This window comes from Homo sapiens, chromosome 19 (genome assembly GCF_000001405.40).
Source record: "Homo sapiens chromosome 19, GRCh38.p14 Primary Assembly".
NCBI classification, from domain to species: Eukaryota; Metazoa; Chordata; class Mammalia; order Primates; family Hominidae; genus Homo; species Homo sapiens.
Window position 1 is genome coordinate 48378463 of NC_000019.10, and position 21006 is coordinate 48399468.

A 21006-nucleotide genomic window follows, 5' to 3' on the forward strand; every position below is an offset into this window, starting at 1 on the left:
GGATCACGAGGTCAGGAGTTCAACACCAGCCTGACCAACATGGTGAAACCCCGTCTCTGCTAAAAATACAAAAATTAGGCCGGGTGCAGTGGCTCACGCCAGTAATCCCAGCACTTTGGGAGGCCAAGGCAGGCAGATCACTTGAGGCCGGCAGTTCGAGACCAGCCTGACCAACATGGAGAAACCCCATCACTACTAAAAAATATAAAATTAGCTGGGCGTGGTGGCGCATGCCTCTAGTCCCAGCTACTTGGGAGGCTGAGGCAGGAGAATCACTTGAATCTGGGAGGCGGAGGTTGCGGTGAGCTGAGATCGTGCCATTGCACTCCAGCCTGGGCAACAAGAGTGAAACTCTGTCTCAGAAAAAAAAAAAAAAAAAACAAAAATACAAAGATTAGCCAGGTGTGGTGGCGTGCGCGTGTAGTCCCAGCTACTCAGGAGGCTGAGGCAGGAGCATCGCTTGAACCCAGGAGGTGGAGGTTGCAGTGATCCGAGGTGGTGCCACTGCACTTCAGCCTGGGTGACAAAGCAAGACTCCATCTCAAAAAAAAAAAGTGAAATCGGTGGGTAACAAATACAAAATAAACGTTGGGCAGTCCAAACGAAACACACCTGCCTGGGGCCATCGTGGCCTGCAGAGCACTAGTTCACAAACCGGACGAAAGGATATGAGATGTGGGGAATCAAATTTGGGTTCCATTAGTCCTTTTTTGGAGGCTTCCTGTGTGGCTGGCCCTGTACCTGGAGGTGTAGAAATAACTATGTGGTCCTGCTGGGTATAGAGAGAAAACAGCAGCAGTGCAGTGAGACAGGAAGTGTTCTGACATGGAAATGAGAGGACTCAGCACTAGACGTCCCTCTGGATAAGCATGGGTGTGTCACTTACTGTCTCTGGGCCCAAGTTGTATTGGCTATAAAACTAAATAATTAGACAGATTTTTTTTTTTTTTAAAGACAGGATCTCTGTTGCCCAGGCTGGAGTGCAGCAGAGTCATCATGGCTCACTGCAGCCTCAACTTCCTGGGCTCAAGCAATCTTCCCACCTCAGCCTCCTGAGTAGCTGGGACTATAGGTAAAGGCCACCATGTCCAGTTAGTTTTTTGTTTTTTATTTATTTTTTTTTTTGAGATGGAGTCTCACTCTGTCACCCAGGCTGGAGTGCAATGGCTCGGTCTCGGCTCACTGCAACCTCTGCCTCCCAGGTTCAAGTGATTCTCCTGCCTCAGCCTCCTGAATAGCTGGGACTACAGGCACATGCCACCACACCCAGCTAATTTTTGTATTGTATAGTAGAGACGGGGTTTCACCTTGTTACCCAGGATGGTCTCGATCTCCTGAACTCGTGATCCGCCAGCCTCGGCCTCCCAAAGTGCTGCGATTACAGGCATAAGCCACCGTGCCTGGCCTTTTTTTTTTTTTTTAAAGAGAGTGTCTCACTCTGTTGCCCAGTCTGGTCTTGAACTCCTGAGCCCAAACAATTCTCTCACCTCCACTTCCCAAAGTGCTGGGATTACAGGCGTGAGCCACTGCACCCAGCTAAAGAATTGAACCGGATTTAGATGGATGCTTTTCAGACTATTCAAAGAGATGCCGGCCGGGTGCGGTGGCTCACGACTATAATCCCAGCACTTTGGGAGGCCAAGGCGGGTGGAACACCTGAAGTCAGGAGTTCAAGACCAGCCTGGCCAACATGGTGAAACCCCATCTCTAAAAAATACAAAAACTAGGCTGGGCACAGTGGCTCACGCCTGTAATCCCAGCACTTTGGGAGGCCAAGGCAGGTGGATCATGAGGGCAGGAGTTCAAGACCAGCCTGGCCAAGATGGTGAAACCCCGTCTCTACTAAAAATACAAAAATTAGCCCGGTGTGGTGGTGGGCGCCTGTAATCCCAGCTACTTGAGAGGCTGAGGCAGAGAATTGCTTGAGCCCAGGAGGCGGAGGTTGCAATGAGCTGAGATTGCGCCACTGTACTCCAGCCTGGACCACGGAGCGAGACTCTGTCAAAAAAAAAAAAAAAGAGAGATGCCTTGGGGCTGGGCACGGTGGCTCACGCCTGAAATCCCAGCACTTTGCGGGGCTGAGGCAGGAGGATCACTTGAAGTCAGGAGTGTTTGAGACCAGCCTGGCCAACATGGTGAAATCCCATCTCTACCAAAAAATACAAAAATTAGGCCGGGCGCGGTGGCTCACACCTGTAATCCCAGCACTTTGGGGGGCTGAGGCAGGTGGATCACCTGAGGTTGGGAGTTCAAGACCAGCCTGGCCAACATAGTAAAACCCCGTCTCTAAAATACAAAAATTAGCTGGGCGTGGTGGCGGGCACCTGTAGTCCCAGCTACTTGGGAGGCTGAGGCAGGAGAATTGCTTGAACCCAGGAGGCGGAGGTTGCAGTGTGGTGAGATTGCACCACTGCACTCCAGCCTGGGCAATAGAGGGAGACTGTCTCAAAAAAAAAAAAAAAATTAGCCAGGTGTGATGGTACACGCCTGTAGTCCCAGCTATTCTGCAGGCTGAGGTAGGAAAATCACTTGAACCAAGGAGGCGGAAGTTGCAGTGAGAGAAGATCGCGCCACAGCATTCCAGCCTGGGAGAGTGAGACCTGTCTCCAAAAAAAAAAAAAAAAAAAAAAAGAGGTGCCTTGGGCTGAGCAGGCAGCAACACAACCCCCTTCCCCAGTCAACCCCAGCGAGCGAGCAGCCCCGCTCCTGTGTTTTCCATATCGGGCTTCCAGGCACAAATCTAAACAGAAGGTCCCTTGACTTAAGAGAAAGAAACAAAAAACCGGCTGAAAAACCACACAGCGTTGGTTAAACACACAAGCTCTGGCATCACGAAGTCCAGGTGCAAAGCCCACCTTTGCCACTCACCCCTCTGAACCTGTTTCCTCATCCACAAAGTGCCCCCTCTGTAGGGATGCTGTGAGGGTTGCAGGAGTTCATCTATGTAACACACAGTACCTGGCACATATCAAGTGCTCAGGAAACGCCAGCTCCCTGCCTCCTCAGGCTTCCAGAGCCAGCCTCCAGGGAAGCTGCAGACAGTTAGGAAGGTCTTAGAGGACATCTAGGAAGTTTGACCTAGTCAAGGGTCAAAAATCCAAAAGCCAACAACAGCCAGGCAGGTAACGTAAGTGAAGAAAATAGGCCAGGTGTGAGGCCAATCTGGAGAGAGACAAGGAAAATATTTCACTTTCCTCTTAACTTCGCAAACAAACAAAAATAACCACACGGCATCAGCCCAATAATAAATGTAACAAGCCTGCAGCCAAGTCCTGGGGACTGTGGTGAAAAGAGCTGCGTCCCATCCATTCAGATCCAGCCATCTGTTGCCACCCAGAAATGAGGACCCAGCATTGTTAGACTGATGGATTTTTTTTTTCAAGAGAAGCCAGAAATGTGAAAATCTGGTTTTTAAAGGCTAGCGACCCATTCTCTTTTTTTAAGGAAACAGAATGCCTCAACAAAAAATGTCAAGTGAGGGTAGGACGGGGGCTGCCCATGTGTGGTCCCTGACATACATGCTCTTTTTTTTTTTTTGAGATGGAGTCTCACTCTGTTGCCCAGGTTGGAGTACAGTGGTGTGATCTCGGCTCACTGAAATATTCGCCTCCTGGGTTCATGCAATTTTCCTGCCTCAGCCTCCTGAGTAGCTGGGACTACAGGGGCACACCACCACGCCCAGCTAATTTTTTTTTGTATTTTTAGTAGAGACGGGGTTTTGCCATGTTGGTCAGGCTGGTCTCAAACTCCTGACCTCAGGTGATCCGCCCGCCTCAGCCTCCCAAAGTGCTGGGATTACAGGCATGAGCCACCATGCCCAGCCAATTCTCCTGAAGGTCCTCTGCAACCCTGAGGGTTTGGAGAACCATCAGACAAGTTCTGTGCCAAGGTAAGAAGACTCTTCAAGATTCTCTCCAAAACCTCTTCCCAGCAGCACGGCGAGGAACTGCACAGCTGAGAGTCTTGGGAGACCCAGTTTCTCCTCTTCCTGCTCCTCCTAGGCCTCGTCGCCTACAGATAGTCAATAAGGCAAAAGCAGAAGCAGAAAGAGGGGCGGGGGCGGGACCCCATACACACCAGGGACAGAGTGGCAAGGAGCAGCAAAAGAAAGGTTTCATTTTCTTCTGTTTATTTCAAGAGAACAAAGATTCAACCATCAGTTCTGTACAAAAACATGGTGTGAGAGCCATGGGATCCTCGGGCCAGCCCCCTTCCCGCACTTGAGCCCCGGGCCCCCCTAATTTGCCAAAAAACCAGGAGAAGACCAAAAAATTCAAACTCTGGGGAAAAAAATTACTATGAAAAAAAATCAGGGGAGACCTTCCTGGGCCTCCCTTTCTCCCTATCCCCAATCTAGAAATTTAGTGGGGGTCGCGGTTCATGGCCATGGCAGGAGGTGGGGCAGATGGGTGTCGGCAGATTTAGTGTTTGGCAACCAGTGGGGCTGGGGGTGGGATCTGGGAGGGAGCCGAGGGGCCTGGGGAAGGGAAAAGATCTTGGACCCTGCCCCGGCCCATAGGACACTCAAAAACACTTTATAAAAATTGGGGCCACAGAGTAGAAGAAAAACGAGTCATCAGAATCAAAAACTAAAGAGTGGAAAGATTTTTTTTTCTTGTCTAAAAGGCAAAAAACTACAAACAGCCCAAGTCCTGAGCTCCCCAAGACCTGGATCCTCCACTGTCCCCCTGAAACCCGGCAGGAGGCGGGATGGGGAGCACAAGAGGTGGGTTCTTAAAAAAGTCACCCCTGGATGGGAAAGCTCTTCATCTTCTGCCGCCTTCCTCTGCCTCCCGCTGCTGCCGAGGAGAGAGATGGAGAGGACCGGGGCTATGCCGGCAAACTCAACTTCTTCCCCTTTAGGACTGTGAGGAGAGAAAACAGGGAGGGCATTACCGCTGGGGCCCCTGCAGGGAGGGGACAGCCTCCCACAGCCAGAGCAGGGCAGGCACGCTAGATGGGCAGATCCACAGGGAGGGAGGTCCCCCAGGACTCACAGATACATTCCTGGTTTCTTTCCTTCCTACCCTTTCTCACTACTGGCAATTTTCTTTCTTTCTTTTTTTGAGACAAGGTCCCACTCTGTAGCCCAGGCTGGAGTGCAGTGGCATAGTCACAGCTCCATGCAGCCTTGACCTCCTCAAGCAATTCTCCCACCTCAGCCTCCCAAGGAGCTGGGACCACAGGCGTGCACCACCATGCCCAGCTAATTTTTTTATTTTTTTATTTTTTATAGTGACAGGGTCTTGCTATGTTGCTCTGGAACTCCTAGGCTTAAGAAATCTCCCTGCCTCAGTCTCCCAAAGTGCTGGGATTACAGGTATGAGCCACCATGCCCAACTAATTCTTTCTTTACTTGTTCATTCACCATCTCCCCCACCAGAATAAAAGGGAAATGGAGGCCTTTGTCTATCTTTTCTCCTCCTAATGTATCCCCAGAGCCTAGCACCTGGCTGGGGACATAGAAAGTACTCAATACATTTGTTGCATGAATAAATGAATGAATTTCAGTGGGCTGAGTCCCTGCCCTGCCTGGCCTACGCTCCAAGTGACATGGGGGCTAAGGACAGAAACTCCTTAGCCCTTAGGGAGGCAGAGGCTAACGGTCTGAATTCCTAGGAGGATGGTAGGCCTGCCACCCCAGAAACCCGGCGAAGAAATGCTCCCTTCTTTGCATAATACAGGGGTAAGGAGACCCCAGTCCCCAGGGAGGGCAGGAGCTGCAGAAATAGGAGGTTCCCTTCCAGCCGTCCCACATTCCAGCTACCTTTGGTGATATAGAGGTAGAAGAAATCGCAGTAGAGGACTGTCTGGACCAGGCCTGCCACAATGGCGATGAGGTCGAAGAAGCCCTCGAAATGGTAGCGCCAGATCCAGTTGAAGAGATAGAGCGTGCGGTAAACGCCTAGCGCAAACAAGTAGTGGCTGGTGATGGTCTCCGCCTCGCCGGTCTTGCTCACCATGAACAGCTGCGGCAAGATGGCCACTGACTCCAGGTAGATGGAGAAGGTCCAGAGGATCTGCAGAGAGGCCGGGGACATGATGAGGTGGGAGGGGACAGGGCGGGAGAAAAGGCAGAGGACAACATTGCAGTTACAGGTGCCGCGAAGGTGGAGAGAAGGAAGGTGATCCAGGTGCTGCCAAGTGCCAGACACAGTTCTGCCCGAGTTACTGGTACCTCTGATTTAATCATCACCATGGCCCGGCGAGGAGATCCTATGATTAGCACACTTATTCTACAGATGAGGAAACTGACACCAGAGAAGGTAAGATACTCGCCCAAGACCATGTAGCCAGCAAGCAGCAGAGCAATGATTCGAACCAAGGATTCGCAGTCCGTTCTCATGAACACTTTGCAATTGCGCCTCTCTGAAAGGCAGGCTGGGTTGGAATCTTGCCTTGGAAATTTCCCTTCCTTTTTCTTTTTCTTTTTTTTTTTTTTGAGATGGAGTATCACTCTGTCACCCAGGCTGGAGTGCCATGGGGTGATCTCGGCTCACTGCAACCTCTGCCTCTTGGGTTCAAGCGTTTCTCCTGCCTCAGCCTCCTGAGTAGCTGGGATTACAGGTGCCCACCACCACACCCGGCTAATTTTTGTATTTGTAGTAGAGACAGGGTTTTGCCTTGTTGGCCAGGCTGGTCTCGAACTCCTGACCTCAGGTGGTCTGCCTGCCTTGGCCTCCCAAAGTGCTGGGATTACAGGCATGAGCCACCGTGCCGGGCCCACATGCCATTTCTTGTGGCAGGCTGCATATGCTGTTCCCACAGCAGGAAAAGCTCTTCCCCTACACTGTCACACATCTGCCTCCTCCGTATTCTCCCAGCCTCAGCTCATTAGTCACCTCCCGAGAGGGACCCTCCCTGGCCATCCTTCCCCCAGGACTGTCACATCACCCCATCTTATCTCCTTCCTGGCCACTCGCACCAGCAATTGAGCTCTGTGAGGGCTGGGATCCTACTTCTTGTTCACCCCGTGGCCCTAGCACCTAGCACAGTTCCTGAATGAGTGAGGAAATGGGAGTTAGCATCTATAAAGGGGTCCCCATGTGCTCAGCACAGGCCACCATTTAGGGAGCACTGACAACCATCATTCATGAGCAGGACAGGACATCATGGGACAGGGAAGAAGACATCTGCCAGCCCCCTTTCAGTCCCCAGCTCCCTGAAAGTGCCACCTGGGGTGATCTGTGATCTGCAGACACACTGAAACCTCAGAGAGCAAAGCCAGGTGGCAGGTGTGGCTCCTTGGTTGTCTTGGTTTGTGGAAGGAAGGTGGGGGGCACCAGGACCTATTCATAACAACTCATGCTTTTCTAGCATTTACGACATCCAAGGCATCGCTCCTTAGGGTGTTAACTGGCCTGAGCCTTAACCCCATGAGGTAGGTACTGTTGTCATTCCCATTCTACAGATGAGGAAACTGAGGCCCAAAGGATAAGAAACGTGTCCAGATTCCCACTGAAGCACGTAGAGTCCAGGACCTGCTCCCAGAATCATCCAGAATCCTCCAGGGAGGCTCTCGTGAAGCCAGGTTAGTTGATGCTGCTGGGAAACGAACCCATTAAATTGATGCCCATTCAACTCTCACCCCTGGGGTTGCCCTTAGGGAACAGAGTCACCGTTTAAAGAGAGACAGAAGGTCTGTTGCTTTTTTTTTTTTTTTTTCCTGAGGCCGAGTTTCACTCTTGTCACCCAGGCTGGAGTGCAGTGGCGCGATCTCGGCTCACTGCAAACCTCCACCTCACGGGTTCAAGTGATTCTCCTGCCTTAACCTCCCAAGTGGCTGGAATTATAGGCACTCACCACCACGCCCTGCTAATTTTTGTATTTTTTTAGTAAAGACAGGGTTTCACCATGTTGGCCAGGCTGGTCTTGAACTCCTCACCTCAAGTGATCCACCCACCTCACCCTCCCAAAGTGCTGGGATCACAGGCGTGAGCCACTGCGCCCAGTCTTGCATTTTTATCTATTCCATGCTGTTTGAATTTTTTTTTTTTTTTTTTGAGATGGCGTCTTGCTCTGTCACCCAGGCTGGAGTACAGTAGCACGATCTCAGCTCACTGCAACCTCTGCTGCCCGGGTTCAAGTGATTCTCCTGCCTCAGCTTCCCGAGTAGCTGGGATTACAGGTGCATGCCACCATGCCCGGCTAATTTTTGTATTTTTAATAGACAGGGGGTTTCAGCATCTTGGCCAGGCTGGTCTTGAACCCCTGACCTCGTGATCCACGATCCACCTGTCTCAGCCTCCCAAAGTGCTGGGATTCAGGCGTGAGCCACTGCGCCCAGCCTGATGTCTGAATTTTTAAAGAATATTTTCCTTAGGTCAGGCACGGCAGCTCACACCTGTAATCCCAGCACTTTGGAAGGCTGAGGCAGGTGGATCACTTGAGGCCAGGAGTTCAAGATCACCCTGGTCAACATAGCAAAACCCTGTCTCTCCTAAAAATACAAAAAAATTTTACCTGGGTGTGGTGGCTCATGCCTGTAATCCCAGCTACTCGGGACGCTGAGGCACGAGAATTGCTTGAACCTGGGAGGCAGAGGTTGCAGTGAGCAGAGATCGTGCCACTGCACTCCAGTCTGGGTGACACAGCAAGACTTAAAAAAAAAAAAAAAAAAAAGACGCCTGGGTTCTGGTCTGGCCTCCTCCACCTTCAGCAAGCCGCACTACCTCCCTCAGCCTCAGTCTCCCCATCTTCAAAATGGGTCTAGTAATCCCTAGTCAACAGGGCAGTTATGAGCTAAGTCAAGGGCTTGGATAAGTGATCCAAGCAAGGTGGTAACAATATGTTTGCAAAGTCCAGGGCCTGGAGCCAAGCCCAGGATTCCCACCACAGCATGATGCAGCCTCCCTCTGATATCTCTGACCCATGGGCCAAAGTCACCCTCTGTTGGATTTGTCTGGCCTATACAGTGCTTTTAGAGATATGTTTTGAAGGCCAGGCACGGTGGCTCATGCCTGTAATCCTAGCACTTTGGGAAGCTGAGATGGGAGAATTGCTTAAGACCAGGAGTTCAAGACCAGCCTGTCAACATGGTGAAACCCCATCTCTACTAGAAACACAAAAATTAGCCAGGCGTGGTGGCAAGCACCTGTAATCCCAGCTACTCGGGAGGCTGAGGCAGGAGAAACGCTTGACCTGGGAGGCAGAGGTTGCAGTGAGCCAAGATCGTGCCACTGCACTCCAGCCTGGGCGACAGAATGAGAGTCCATCTCAAAAAAGAAAAAAAAAAAAAAAAAAGAAATATAGTCTGAATCTGTGGCTAAAATTTTAAAATGAGACATCTTGCCTGAAAACTCCTGAATTATGGCTTCTGTTGAAAAGATCAGCACATCTGGCCACCCAGGCCTATCTTCCTATAAGGCAGGAGTGGGCACAGGTAAGAAAAGGTTACCCTGAATTTATGATTCCTGCCAGGCCCCAGGAGGCAAGAGATCGCAAACTTAGCACTGGCTCTCGCAAAATTCCTCCCAGGAGTTTGTACAGGTCCCAGCAAAACACCATGGAATAAAAATCATTAACAGCGAACATTTAAAAGTAAAAGTATCAGAGATGGGACTAAACACTTCAGTCATTGAACATTGATTGACACAGCACTTCCTACCTCATCCCAGATACTGTGCTTTATTAATACCAACCTCTCATTTGAACCCTATGACATAGGAACTGATTATCTCCATTTTACAGATGAGGAAACTGAGGCACAGGGTAGTTATGTGATTTGCCCAGAATCCCATAGCTGCTACATGGTAGAGGCAGGGTCCAAATCCTTACACTCTGATTCTAGAGTCTTTATGTGTTTTGACACCAGGCAGTGCTGCAAAGTCTCAGTAAATTCTCACAATGACCTGATCACAACTTTACAAATGTGGAAACCGAGGTACAGAGAGGTCAAGTCACATGCACGGGATCATGCTAATAGAAACTAGCAGATTTGGAGCCGGGCGCGGTGGCTCATGCCTGTAATCCCAGCACTTTGGGAGGCTGAGGAGAGTGGATCACCTGAGGTCAGGAATTCGAGACCAGCCTGGCCAATATGTTGAAACCCTGTCTCTACTAAAAATACAAAAAATAACCTGGCTTGGTGGTGGGCATCTGCAATCTCAGCTACTCGGGAGGCTGAGGCAGGAGAATCGCTTGAACCTGGGAGGTGGAGGTTGCAGTGAGCCAGAATCATGCCACTGCCTCCAGTCTGGGCAACCGAGCGAGACTTTGTCGAAAGAGAAAGGAAAAAAGAAAGAAAGGAAGAAAAGGAAGAAAAGGAAGAAAGGAAGAAAGGAAGGAAAGAAGAAAGAAAGGAAAGAAAGGAAGAAAGAAAGAAAGGAAAGAAAGAGAAAGAAAGGAAGGAAGGAAGGAGGAAAGGAAGAAAGGAAGGAGGAAAGGAAGAAGGAAAGGAAGAAAGAAAGGAAGGAAGGAAGAAAGAAAGGAAGGAAGAAAGGAAGAAAGGAAAGAAAGAAAGAAAGAAGGAAAGAAAGAAAGAAAAAAGAAACTAGCAGATTTGGAATTCAAATTCAAGAAGGCTGGGCCAGGAATGGTGGCTCACGCCTGTAATCCCAGCACTTTGGGAGGCCAAGACAGGCAGATTATTTGAGCCCAGGAGTTCAAGACCAGCCTGGTCAACATGTGAAACCCTGTCTGGACTAAAAATACAAAAATTAGCAGAGCATGGTGATGTGCACCTGTCTTCCCAACTACTCGGGAGGCTGAGGTAGGATAATTGCTTGAACCTGGGAGGCGGGGGTTGCAGTGAGCCGAGATCATGCCACTGCACTCCAGTCTGGGCAACAGAGCGAGACTTTGTCTCCAGAAAAAAAAGAATCCCTAAGCCTCAGTTTCCTCATCTGTAAAGTGGGGCTGCTGAGAAAAGTAAGTAGGTGAAATGCTTAGGGTAGTGACTGACACATAGCGAGTCTTGCTGCTGTTGTGTTAATTTCCTCTGACCCCAGAGCCCATGCACTGAACTTATGCATCCTAAAATAAGGCAGTTTGGGCACACCCTGCAGAAGGAAGCCTGTGAGAGGGTCTCCTGTCATAGCTACTCTGCCACAACCATCCCCCCAAATAAGGAGTCACAGCAAGGCGCCTACCTCCAGAGGGGTGAAGTCATGATTGACCAGGAACGCCAGAATGGCTGTGGGAACGACCAGGAACTCCACTCTGAACGTGTCATGGTTCCCATCGTAAGTAGCTTTGAACTTGCTATAAATCAACCAGACCGTGGTGAAGGAGCAGGCTATGTAGACCACCTGAGGAGGGGGATGATGAGAAGGGGCCTCAACTCACAGGCCTGTGCCCCAGTAGGCTCAGAGCCCGGAGTCCAGGCCCCTCCCTCAGACGCAGGAGTCCAGACCCCCAACCCCTCCTCCCTCAGACCCAGGAGTCCAAGCCCCCAGCCCCTCCTCCCTCAGACCCAGGAGTCCAGGCCCCCAACCCCTCCTCCCTCAGATCCAGGAGTCCAAGCCCCCAGCCCCTCCTCCCTCAGACCCAGGAGTCCAGGCCCCCAACCCCTCCTCCCTCAGACCCTGGAGTCCAGGCCCCCAGCCCCTCCTCCCTCAGACCCAGGAGTCCAGGGCCCCATTCCCTCCTCCCTCAGATCCAGGAGTCCAGGCCCAGCCCCTCCTCCCTCAGACCCAAGAGTCCAGGCCCAGCCCCTCCTCCCTCAGACCCAGGAGTCCAGGCCCCAGTCCCTTCCTCCCTCAGACCCAAAAGTCCAGGCCCCCGGCCCCTCCTCCCTCAGACCCAGGAGTCCAGACCCCCAACCCCTCCTCCCTCAGACCCAGGAGTCCAGGCCTCAGTCCCTTCTTCCCTCAGACCCAAGAGTCCAGGCCCCCGGCCCCTCCTCCCTCAGACCCAGGAGTCCAGGCCCCCAGCCCCTCCTCCCTCAGACCTAGGAGTCTGGGACCCACACCCGGCTCCTCTGCCTCAGTGGGGGCCAGAGAGGTGGGGTGGAGCCTCTACCTTCATACACGTGTTGTAGAGTGAGATGTAGTTGGTGAAGAGGTCCAGATATCGGGCAGTGAACACCACAGCAAACAGGACCTGGCTCTTCCCTGAAATTCCTGTGGTCCAGAGACAGAGAAAGAGAGAGAGAGAGAGACAGAGAGAGAGAGAGAGACAGACAGACAGACAGACAGACAGAAGGAGAGAGGAAGCTGGGGGTGGGCTGCATGGGCAATAAACTAAGGCAGGGCGCCCGGGACCAGCCTGGAGGCAGCTCTGGAGTGCAGCTGTCCCCGGAGGCCTCCCCAGCCCGCCCCGCCTGAGCAGGGCCCTTTCCCACGGACCACAGCCAGGGGGCAGCCCAGGCCCCCGAAGCTACTCCAGCCCGAGGCTCCGTCCCAGACTAGGCCTCATGGCTACCCCTGGCCCCTCAGGGTCCTCCCGCAGTCTGGACCTGAGGTGAGGCCTAGGGAGGACCTTCCCTGACCTCAGGCCCCGGATCCGGTCACCTCCCTCCCGTTCCCTTCCTGGCCGCCACGGTCCACGTCACCAACTCACAGCCACCTCCCCGCCTGCCATGGTTCCCTGTTCCCGGTCCATGAACCCTCGGGCTGCCCAGATTGGGGCTGGGGGTGGCTGAATTGGGGGCCTAAAGCCATTCACATGAAACTGTATGCACCCCCGCCAGTCTGGGGAAGGGAGCTGATCCCCTGGAGACCCAGAACCTAGAAGAGAGATCCCCAGCAAGCAGTGGGGGTGGAACCTGTGCCCCTAGTGCCCCCAAACCCTTCCTGAGTCCTGCGACGTCCCCCAACCCCCGCCCGCAATCTCTCTCCTTCGCCAGCCCTGGTGGGCCTCTCACCGGCGCACGAGCGGGACTTCCAGATTTTGAGCAGTAGCAAGATGATGGCGAGGAGGTGGGAGAGGTCTCCCAGGAATCGGAAGAGATTCATGGCTGGGGAACCCTGGCAGGGCTGAGCGGGAGGGAGGCAGGCTGGCGGGGGGGTGCCCCCCGAGGCTGCTGGTCTGAACGGGTAGCTGGGCTGGGGGGACGGAAGAGGGACCCTAGGTGCGCTCCGCTCCGGGGAGGGGACTTTGGGAGGGGGAGCAAAGGCTGGAGCTGGCGGCGGAGCTGGAGCCGGGAAGAGGGAGGAGAGCGAGAGGGGGAGGAGTCCGGGAGGAGAGGCTCCGCCCCCGAGGGCGGGGCCTGGATCCCCGGCGCCCCCTATCGCCCACCTCCTGCTTTGCCGTGGCGGCGCTAAACGCACCCCCAAAGCTGCCCCATAGGAACTTGGGAGGGTCGCAGGGTTCGGAAAGTGCCAAATCCAGCACCGGTTCGCCCAGGCAGTCTGTGTCTCTGGAAGAGACGCAGTCCAGTACACCAGCCTCAGCCCTTGCAGGGATGTAGAGACTGCCCTCTGAGCTTGAAAAATCCTGCAGGGACCCGGAGGCTCAGCTGCTAGCTTTTGCAGCTTTCAGGCACTCTAACTCCAATCCCCCAGAAGACAAGAAAGATACCCCACCTACTTCCTCCCCTAGACCCAGGACTCAAGGCCCCAGCCCGTTCGTCAAACCCAGAAGTCTGGGTCCCCAGCCCCTCCTCCCTCAGACCCAGGAGTCCAGACCCCCAGCCTCTCCTCCCTCAGACCCAGAAGTCCAGACCCCCAGCCCCTCCTCCCTCAGATCCAGGAGTCCAGGCCCAGCTCCTCCTCGCTCAGACCCAGGAGTCCAGGCCCCCAGCCTCCTCCCTCAGACCCAGGAGTCCAGGCCCCCAGCCTCCTCCCTCAGACCCAGGACTCCAGGCCCCCAGACCCTCCTCCCCCAGATCCAGGAGTCCAGGCCCCCAGCCCTTCCTCCCTCAGACCCAGGAGTCCAGACCCCCAGCACCTCCTCCCTCAGACCCAGGAGTCCAGATCCCCAGCCCCTCCTCCCTCAGACCCAGGGGTCCAGGGCCCCAGCCCCTCCTCCCTCAGACCCAGGGGTCCAGGGCCCCAGCCCCTCCTCCCTCAGACCCAGGGGTCCAGGGCCCCAGCCCCTCCTCCCTCAGACCCAGGAGTTCAGGGCCCCAGCCCTTTTCCCTCCTAGGACGCTGTTCCTTGGAACTTAGGGTCCCACCCCCACCATCTTATGGATCAAACATCCTAACCTTAAGAATCTAGATCTACAGTTTCTCCCTTTACGACCCACAGATTTAGGCCCTGATTCTCTTCTTTTTCAGGAATGTGCACCTCACCCTGTTCTCCCAGACCTTGAGGATGAAGGAAACAGGAGCCTCACCCAGGAGGCTCAAGGCCAAAACTCTGACCCAAACTACCTCAGGAGCCCCTGGCCCTGGCTTCCCCCCTGCTCCAGAGTTTCTGCCCTGCCCACACACACACACCCTCTTCCACCCTCAGAGGCCCCGGTGTCCTGCCCCACGCTCTACCCCAGAGCCCCACGGGTGGCTTTATAAAAGTGCCGGGCCCAGCCCTCTAGCAGGAGGGGAATGCTGGGCATCTGGGTGTGGGACCCCCGGGGAACAGCCTGTGGTCTGGACTCCTGCATCTATGAGGGGACAGACGTGGCTTCCCTTCCGGATGATGGGGTACCCACAGATGATGGAGGCCAGGGTCCCTCAATAAAAGAAGGGGTGCAGGCGTGTTGATTTCTTCAGAGGGCTGGAAGGACGGGGTGCCCAAGGGTGACATCCACGAGTCTTGGGTCCCTGAGGGTGGCTTGTACGGGGGAGAGTCGGGATGACTGAGTCCTTAAAAGAGACTCCGACTTGGAGGCGGTCCCCAAATTCCTGGGTCCCAGTAGAGAAGGGGACTCCTGGGTCTGAGGGAGGAGGGGCTGGGGGGTGGGACTCCTGGGACCAGGGTCGAGACCTGGTTTTCAGGCCTGGCCTTCTGGGGCAATAAAAGCCACAGCTTGGGTCTTAGTGTGGCGAACACTGAAGTCAGGGAAAGGCCTCCTGTTTCCAGAGCCTCAAGGCAGGGCGGGGGCAGAGGGCAGCAACCCCCAGCCCTGGAGTCTAGCTCTGAAGCTGGTGTCTCCATACCGGGTTCTGAGTCCCTGCCTGCCTGTCCCCAGCCTGACTTCTTCCTCCCTTTTTATTTTCAGCCCCTCACTCCCTTGTCCCAGGAGGAAGGCAGAGGCTGGTAGCTAGGGGTGGGGGGCGGCCCCCTCCCCAAGCCTGGCAGGAGAAGGGGTCCCCAGGGAGGCCAGGAGGGGGGGCTGTGGGTCTCCCGGCAGTGGCAGACGGGGACTGAATGTTAATCGCATCCCGAGTGAGTGTGTGTGTGCGAGAACACAGCGAGTGTGTGAGTCCCTCCCGCTCCAGCTCCTCCAAGCCGCGGCCGCCGCCGCCACCCTCGCCCGCAGCCTCCCGCAGCCTCCCTCGGCCACCGGTGCCTGCTGGGGGTGTTGCCTGGGTAGGTCGGCCCGGCCCCCAGGGGTCTCTCGAGCGTCTGCCATCTGCCCGGTGAGGATCTGTGTGTCCGGGTGTCTGGGGCTGGCTGGTGGAGGGGGGGTGTGTCTGTAAGCGCTGCGGCGGCGGAGGGAGGGAGGGGTCTGTCTGTCTGTACCGACCCTGAGCTGCCTGCCTGGGTGTCGTGGGGCTCCCGCTCCTTCCCCCCGGCCCCCCCAAACCCAGATGGATGGTGTGTACCTGGGTTCTGTGCCTCCTGCCTGCGTCCGGCCAGGCGTCTGGGCGTCCCCGGCTGCCTGTGTCCTCCTGTCTGTCCAAACAGCCCCTATCAGCAGTGGCAGCCTGGCCCCCATTAGACCCCCCACTCTGTGTGTGTGTGTCTGTGTGTGTGTCCCTCCTCAAGCTCTGGGGGTGTTGAGGGGGAATCCCAGGGAAGTGAGATCGTGCGTGTGTGCGTGAGTGTATGTGTGTTTCTGCCTGTGTTTGAGAGTGGGGGAGTCAAGGGGGGGTCTAGAGGTGGCCAAGCGAGGAAGGGGCAAGCAGTTCCCCAAGCAGGCAATCTCCCGCTCCTCACACGCACACACCAGCCACTAGCTTCAGAGGTGACCCAGACAGACAGATAGACACAGACGCTGGAAGGGGGGGTGGGGGGGCTGAGGGCACAAAGCGGGGGTGCGAGTGAGCCAGGGAGAGGCGGGACTGGACACATGGAAAGGGGGGAGGAGCCGGGGCTGAAGCGGCAGAGGGGGGCACCCCGGGTGGGCGGAGGGGGGATCCCCACGGGGTCGGGGCGGCAAGAGGACACCCCGACAGCCTCTGCAATGTCCGGGGCCCAACTTCCAGAGCAACATGTGTAGCCACGTCCTCGCCTAGTCCAGGTGGCCGCAACCTTGGGGGAGAGACAGGGCAGGACAGGACCAAGGAAGAGGAAGGAGAGACGGAGCCAGGGACAGACAGGAGGTCCGGGCTGCCGCTGCTGCCGCCACCACCACTGCCGCCGCCCCGGGGCCTGCCCCCCGACATCGGCTCTCTGAGCCCTCCTCGGAATCTTGGGGTCGCTGGACGCCGGGTTCCGGTCCTGGCCCCCCCGCCATCCCCCCAACAGAACAGGGTCATGAAAAGGTAAGGCGGGGACAGGGGATGCAGGGATGGTGGTGGGAATGTGGACCCCCAAATCTAGGACAGAGGAAGTTGGCAAGAAGCCTCGTGGAGGGAGGGGGTTTGAACGGTGGGCAGGGGTCTTGACCCCCACCTAGCTCCCCTGTCCCTCAGGGACTCTCCTCCACCCTCTCTCTCTCCCTCTCTGAGCCCCTTTTTCCTGAGTCCCTACACCTCAGACCTTTCACGCCCCCATTTCTCTGACACTTGGCTCCCTCTCCCCATCCCCACATACCTGATGCCCCATATCCCTGTGCCTCCATCTCTCTATCTCACCTTCTCCCTGTACCCCCCTCCCTGCATCAGTCCCCCCATCGCGAGCCGGTCCTCTCCCTCTCTCCTCTCGCTCTCCCCTCCCATGTCAGAGCTATGAGTCTGCTATTAATACCCCCGCCAAGGACCTTGAGGGCATCCAGGCCCCCAGCACCCCTCGCCCCAAGCTCCCACCCCTTCCTCAAGGTTCTGGAACACCCTTCCAGCCTCTTCCAAGCATCAGGATTCGGGTGGGGAGAGACCGATGTTGTGTGTGTGTGTTGGGAGGTGAGGGGGGAGGAAACGGGATGCCGTCTGCAGCACAACTCGAGGTTGTGGGGGGAGCTGTTGATCGAAGTGGCCGCTCCTCTCTTCTCTGTTGGATGCTGTGGGGGGCAATGAAGACAGGGACACCCTAGGAATTTCTGGCACCCTCCTCCTCCTCCCCGCTTGGGGACAGGCTGTGCTATGTACAGGATCTAAGTGGGGTGACTAGGGAGGCCAGAGCTCGGTGGGGGGGCACCCAGGATGTTGGGAAGGATAGGGTTTGAAACCAAAAGGGGATCCTTAAGGGAGGACAGGAGCCGGAACCCGGACTCCTGGGTCCTTGGGGGAAGAGGGGAGCTGGGGACCTGGACTCTTGGTTCCTGCAGGGAGAGGAGGCTGGGCACTGGAGTTCCAGAGTCTTGGGGCAGGAGGGGCCTGGCCTCCTGGGTCCTGGGAAAGAACAGGACCGAATGCCCAGACTCCCAAGGCCTGGGGGAGGAAGGGGCTGCCAGAAGGACTCCTGGGTCTTTACGGGAGGAGGTAGGGGATAGCGCTTCCGTCTGAGGAAGGCAGGCTGGGAGCTCAGTCTCCTGAGTCCCTGACAGGGCAGGAGATGAGTGTTGGGGACTTTAGCCCTATGCAGATGGAAGTGGAAACGGAGGCTCATGAGGAGGTAGAGATGGAGGCGGGGGGAGCGGGGGGTTGTCCAGAGGCTGGACTCTGTGATCCCTGAGGGCGTGGGTTCTGGGGGTTGGGCCTTCAGAGTCCTGGAGGACTGGGGATGCCCCTCCTCAGGCCCTGGAGTGGGGGAGGCTGCTCTCCCTAATCCCTGTGGTTAGGAACTGAGCATGCAGCCCCCGTGAGAAGGGTGGGGCCGGGGGCTGCCCTCCTGGGCCTCAGTAGGGAGTGGGACGCGGGGTCCCTAAGAGCAGAAGCCAGGTAGGGGTGGGTCTGGGAGAGGCAGAGGAGGGGCTGGAGGGTGAGCAGCCACTGGGAATGGAGGGGAGCGTGAGTGTTAACCCCGCGGGGGCCAGGCCACAGCTGTGGGTTATTTTGGGGCGGAGTGGGGGGGTTATTCTGAGCGCTGATTGAGCCAGCTGCTTGGGGAAGGGCAATGGAAAGGAGGAGCGAAGAGAAGCCAGGATCGGGGAGGGATGGGCATACTAGGAGCCCCCAACCCCTTCCCTGGGGAGACAGGGGCCCGAGATCTCTGGGAAGGTGAGGTGGTGGGCAGAGGGGACGGGCTGTGGCCTCGAGGCAGGGGAGGGGTGGTGGACCTTTCCCCCGCCCTGGCTGTCTGTGGGGTGGACGAGGCCTGCGCTACCATGGCAACCAGACAGGAGCATGACAGCCAGGAGAGAACCCTTCCTTGTCTGGACCCTCACCCCTTCTGGAAGCCCCTAGTGCGGACTCCAGTCCTTCTCTGGGAACCAGGAGTCCAGACTCCCAGTGCCCTCCTCCCTCAGTCCCAGGCAGGACCCAGGAGCCTGGCTCCCAGCCCAACCACCCCAGGCGGCTAGTATTCAACAGGGGGCACAGGAAGAGAGGCTGTATTTCCTCTAATTTACCAAATTGCTCTGGGCTGGGTGCCAGGGACCCCCACACCCACCCCACCCAGCTCTCCACAGCTGTGCCCCCCAACCCCACATCCCAGATGGGGCCATGACTCCCTTGCTTTGAGAATGAGGGGATGGGGACAGGACTAAGGGGACAAAATGGGTTAGGGGTTGTGGTCAGGGTGAGGAGTAAGGTCATGTGGGGATTTTCTCTCCTTGGGGTGCCCCACTAATTTCTCTCTTTCTCTCCCCACACACCTGACCCCTTTTCCCTCTCATTTTTTCTCTCCCTTTTCCTCCCTTTTATTTCTGCTCCCTCCTGCCACTCGCCTTCCCCGCCTTACTTTCATGTCTGTACTGGGCACCTCCCTGGTGGGGGTCCCGATCTTGGCCTTGCTTCGCTATTTCTGTCCTCCTGTTTTCGCTCCGCTCTGCCTGCCTCCCTCAATCTCAATTGTTTCCCCATCCTTTATGTGCGCGTGTCTCTTGGTGGCCTTGGGGTCTCTGTCTCCCTCTTCCTGCCTTGCTGTCTTCTTCTCTGTCCAACTTTCTTGCCTCGCTTATCTCTCCCGCCTTCCTGCATCTCTTCCCGCCTCTATCATCCTCTCCCTGGGCCTCCCTCATTCCTGTTTCTGTCACTCCGTCCTCTCTCTCTCCGTCTTCTCCCCGTCTCTGCTGCTTCCGTCTCTCTCCTTCTTCCTGCCGCTCTTTCCCTCCCCGTCTCCCTGGGCCTCTCTCTGCTCCTATCTTGATCCCATCTCTGTGGGTGTCCCCATCCCCACCTTGTCTATCTTCCTCTCTCTCCCCTCTTACCTCTGTATCTTCCCCTGACCCCATTATCCACCCTCGTCTTTGCGTCTCCCCCAATCCCATACTCCACTTCTTCCTATCTCTGTCTCGCCCTATCTCTGCGTCTCTCCCTGTTTCACCTCTTCCTCTGGTGTTTCTTCCCCACCTCTCCCTTCCACCTCCCTCTGCTGTGTCTGTCTCTCCCTCTGTCTCTGCCTGTCTCTCCTCCATCTCTCTCTCTCCGTCTCCCCCTCTCTCTCCCCTCCATCTCTCTCTACCTCTGCCCGTCTCTCCCTCTGTCTCTCCTCCATTTCTCTCTCCCTCTGTCTCTCTCCCTTCCATCTCTCTCGTCCTCCGTTCCTGTCTCTCCCTCTGTTCCATCACCCCGACCGCTCCCTGTCCTCCCCATCTCGGCGCCTGTCCCTCGCTGCATCTCCTCCTCTGTGCGTCTCTTTATCTCGTCTCCCTGTCCCTGCGTCTCCCGTCTGTGCCTCCCTCTCCTCCCCGTCTCTCCCGGCCCGGGCGCTCAGAGGCCGCCCGGCGGGGCCCGCAGGCGATGCGCGGCGCCGGTGGCCCCCGCGGCCCTCGGGGCCCCGCTAAGATGCTGCTGCTGCTGGCGCTGGCCTGCGCCAGCCCGTTCCCGGAGGAGGCGCCGGGGCCGGGCGGGGCCGGTGGGCCCGGCGGCGGCCTCGGCGGGGCGCGGCCGCTCAACGTGGCGCTCGTGTTCTCGGGGCCCGCGTACGCGGCCGAGGCGGCACGCCTGGGCCCGGCCGTGGCGGCGGCGGTGCGCAGCCCGGGCCTAGACGTGCGGCCCGTGGCGCTGGTGCTCAACGGCTCGGACCCGCGCAGCCTCGTGCTGCAGCTCTGCGACCTGCTGTCGGGGTTGCGCGTGCACGGCGTGGTCTTCGAAGACGACTCGCGCGCGCCCGCCGTCGCGCCCATCCTCGACTTCCTGTCGGCGCAGACCTCGCTGCCCATCGTGGCCGTGCACGGCGGCGCCGCGCTCGTGCTCACGCCCAAGGTGCGCGCGACCGGGGCGGGGCGGGGCCACAGGAGGGGCGGGGACAGCCGCTGAGGGGCGGGACTGGGACAGCCAGCGGGGGCGGGGCCTAGAGGGGGCGGGGACTGTCCTGTGGGTCCGAGTCTGGGACAAGGTGGGCCCAGATGGTAGGCAGGGCTTAGGGCTAGATTAGAGGCGGGGCTGACTTGGAGGGGGCTGGTCTATAGGGTAAGCTGGGCCTTTAGGGTCAGAAAGAGGCCAGTCCTCGATGATCAGAGTATAGGGAGGACGTGGGCCCATTCATTGCAGGTAAGGGTCTGTAGTAAAGGCGAGTCGAGGGAAGGGTTAGGGGCTGGGAACGAAAAGGGACTAGCCCCAAATGGCAAAATCTGAGGGAGGGGTGGGACCTAGGATCAGCACAGGAAGAAGTCAGTTGAAAAGGAATGGGCCTGGGCGCGGTGGCTCACGCCTGTAATCCCAGCGCTTTGGAAAGCCGAGGCCGGCGGATCACTTGAGGTCACAGGAGTTTGAGACCAGCCTGGCCAACATGGTGAAACCCCGTCTCTACTAAATATACAAAAATTAGCCGGGCGTTGTGGCGGGCGCCTGTAATCCCAACTACTCGGGAGGGT

The 21006-nt window shown here is 56.6% G+C and overlaps 2 protein-coding genes across 4 annotated transcripts in view, besides 5 other annotated features; one reads left to right on the forward strand and one right to left on the reverse strand.

Annotated features, from left to right (window-relative positions):
* Positions 1-4112: 4112 nt before the first annotated feature.
* KDELR1 (KDEL endoplasmic reticulum protein retention receptor 1) lies at positions 4113-18950 on the reverse strand. Of its 2 annotated transcripts, XM_047438095.1 has the most exons (6): positions 18930-18950; positions 15593-15662; positions 11962-12062; positions 11091-11249; positions 5768-6020; positions 4113-4865 (listed from the first exon to the last, which is right to left on the reverse strand). In XM_047438095.1, exons 1-6 carry the CDS (start codon positions 18933-18935, stop codon positions 4831-4833), a joined length of 624 nt encoding a protein of 207 aa, XP_047294051.1. In that variant the 5' UTR covers positions 18936-18950; the 3' UTR covers positions 4113-4830. The 2 variants fall into 2 exon arrangements, with proteins under 2 accessions (XP_047294051.1, NP_006792.1); NM_006801.3 differs by lacking the exons at positions 15593-15662; positions 18930-18950 and adding an exon at positions 12806-13089.
* Positions 11916-12055: an enhancer, noted in NCBI's record as "active region_14891". NCBI's record gives its function as "activates an Ori minimal core promoter by ATAC-STARR-seq in GM12878 lymphoblastoid cells {active_cell/tissue: GM12878}" and the evidence as "EXISTENCE:reporter gene assay evidence [ECO:0000049][PMID:35858748]".
* Positions 12926-13245: a silencer, noted in NCBI's record as "silent region_10878". NCBI's record gives its function as "represses an Ori minimal core promoter by ATAC-STARR-seq in GM12878 lymphoblastoid cells {active_cell/tissue: GM12878}" and the evidence as "EXISTENCE:reporter gene assay evidence [ECO:0000049][PMID:35858748]".
* Positions 15206-21006, forward strand: part of GRIN2D (glutamate ionotropic receptor NMDA type subunit 2D) — a 51264-nt gene continuing 45463 nt past the window's right edge. Inside the window, exons 1-3 of one of the 2 annotated variants that reach the window (NM_000836.4) lie at positions 15206-15406; positions 16196-16474; positions 19905-20395. In NM_000836.4, the coding sequence (NP_000827.2) occupies positions 19931-20395 (465 nt within the window). In that variant the 5' untranslated portion in view covers positions 15206-15406; positions 16196-16474; positions 19905-19930. Of the gene's footprint in view, positions 15407-16195; positions 16475-19207; positions 20396-21006 lie in introns of those variants that run through there. The other variant, XM_011526872.2, reaches the window with a different exon arrangement.
* Positions 17594-17777: a silencer, noted in NCBI's record as "fragment chr19:48899313-48899496 (GRCh37/hg19 assembly coordinates)". NCBI's record gives its function as "represses an EF-1alpha promoter that drives an FKBP-Casp9 reporter gene in an ReSE screen in HepG2 liver carcinoma cells {active_cell/tissue: HepG2}" and the evidence as "EXISTENCE:reporter gene assay evidence [ECO:0000049][PMID:32094911]".
* Positions 20033-20132: a silencer, noted in NCBI's record as "silent region_10879". NCBI's record gives its function as "represses an Ori minimal core promoter by ATAC-STARR-seq in GM12878 lymphoblastoid cells {active_cell/tissue: GM12878}" and the evidence as "EXISTENCE:reporter gene assay evidence [ECO:0000049][PMID:35858748]".
* Positions 20293-20512: a silencer, noted in NCBI's record as "silent region_10880". NCBI's record gives its function as "represses an Ori minimal core promoter by ATAC-STARR-seq in GM12878 lymphoblastoid cells {active_cell/tissue: GM12878}" and the evidence as "EXISTENCE:reporter gene assay evidence [ECO:0000049][PMID:35858748]".

What these genes read in the sequence shown, in the direction of transcription:
- KDELR1 (NM_006801.3), bottom strand. Translation starts at nt 12,896, where the DNA reads ATGAATCTCTTCCGATTCCTGGGAGACCTCTCCCACCTCCTCGCCATC. An exon ending in ATGACTTCACCCCTCTGGAG is followed by an intron (nt 6,021 to 11,090) that starts GTAGGCGCCTTG and finishes GCCTCTCTGCAG; the next exon opens with ATCCTCTGGACCTTCTCCAT. An exon ending in CTACCTCTATATCACCAAAG is followed by an intron (nt 4,866 to 5,767) that starts GTAGCTGGAATG and finishes CTCTCCTCACAG; the next exon opens with TCCTAAAGGGGAAGAAGTTG.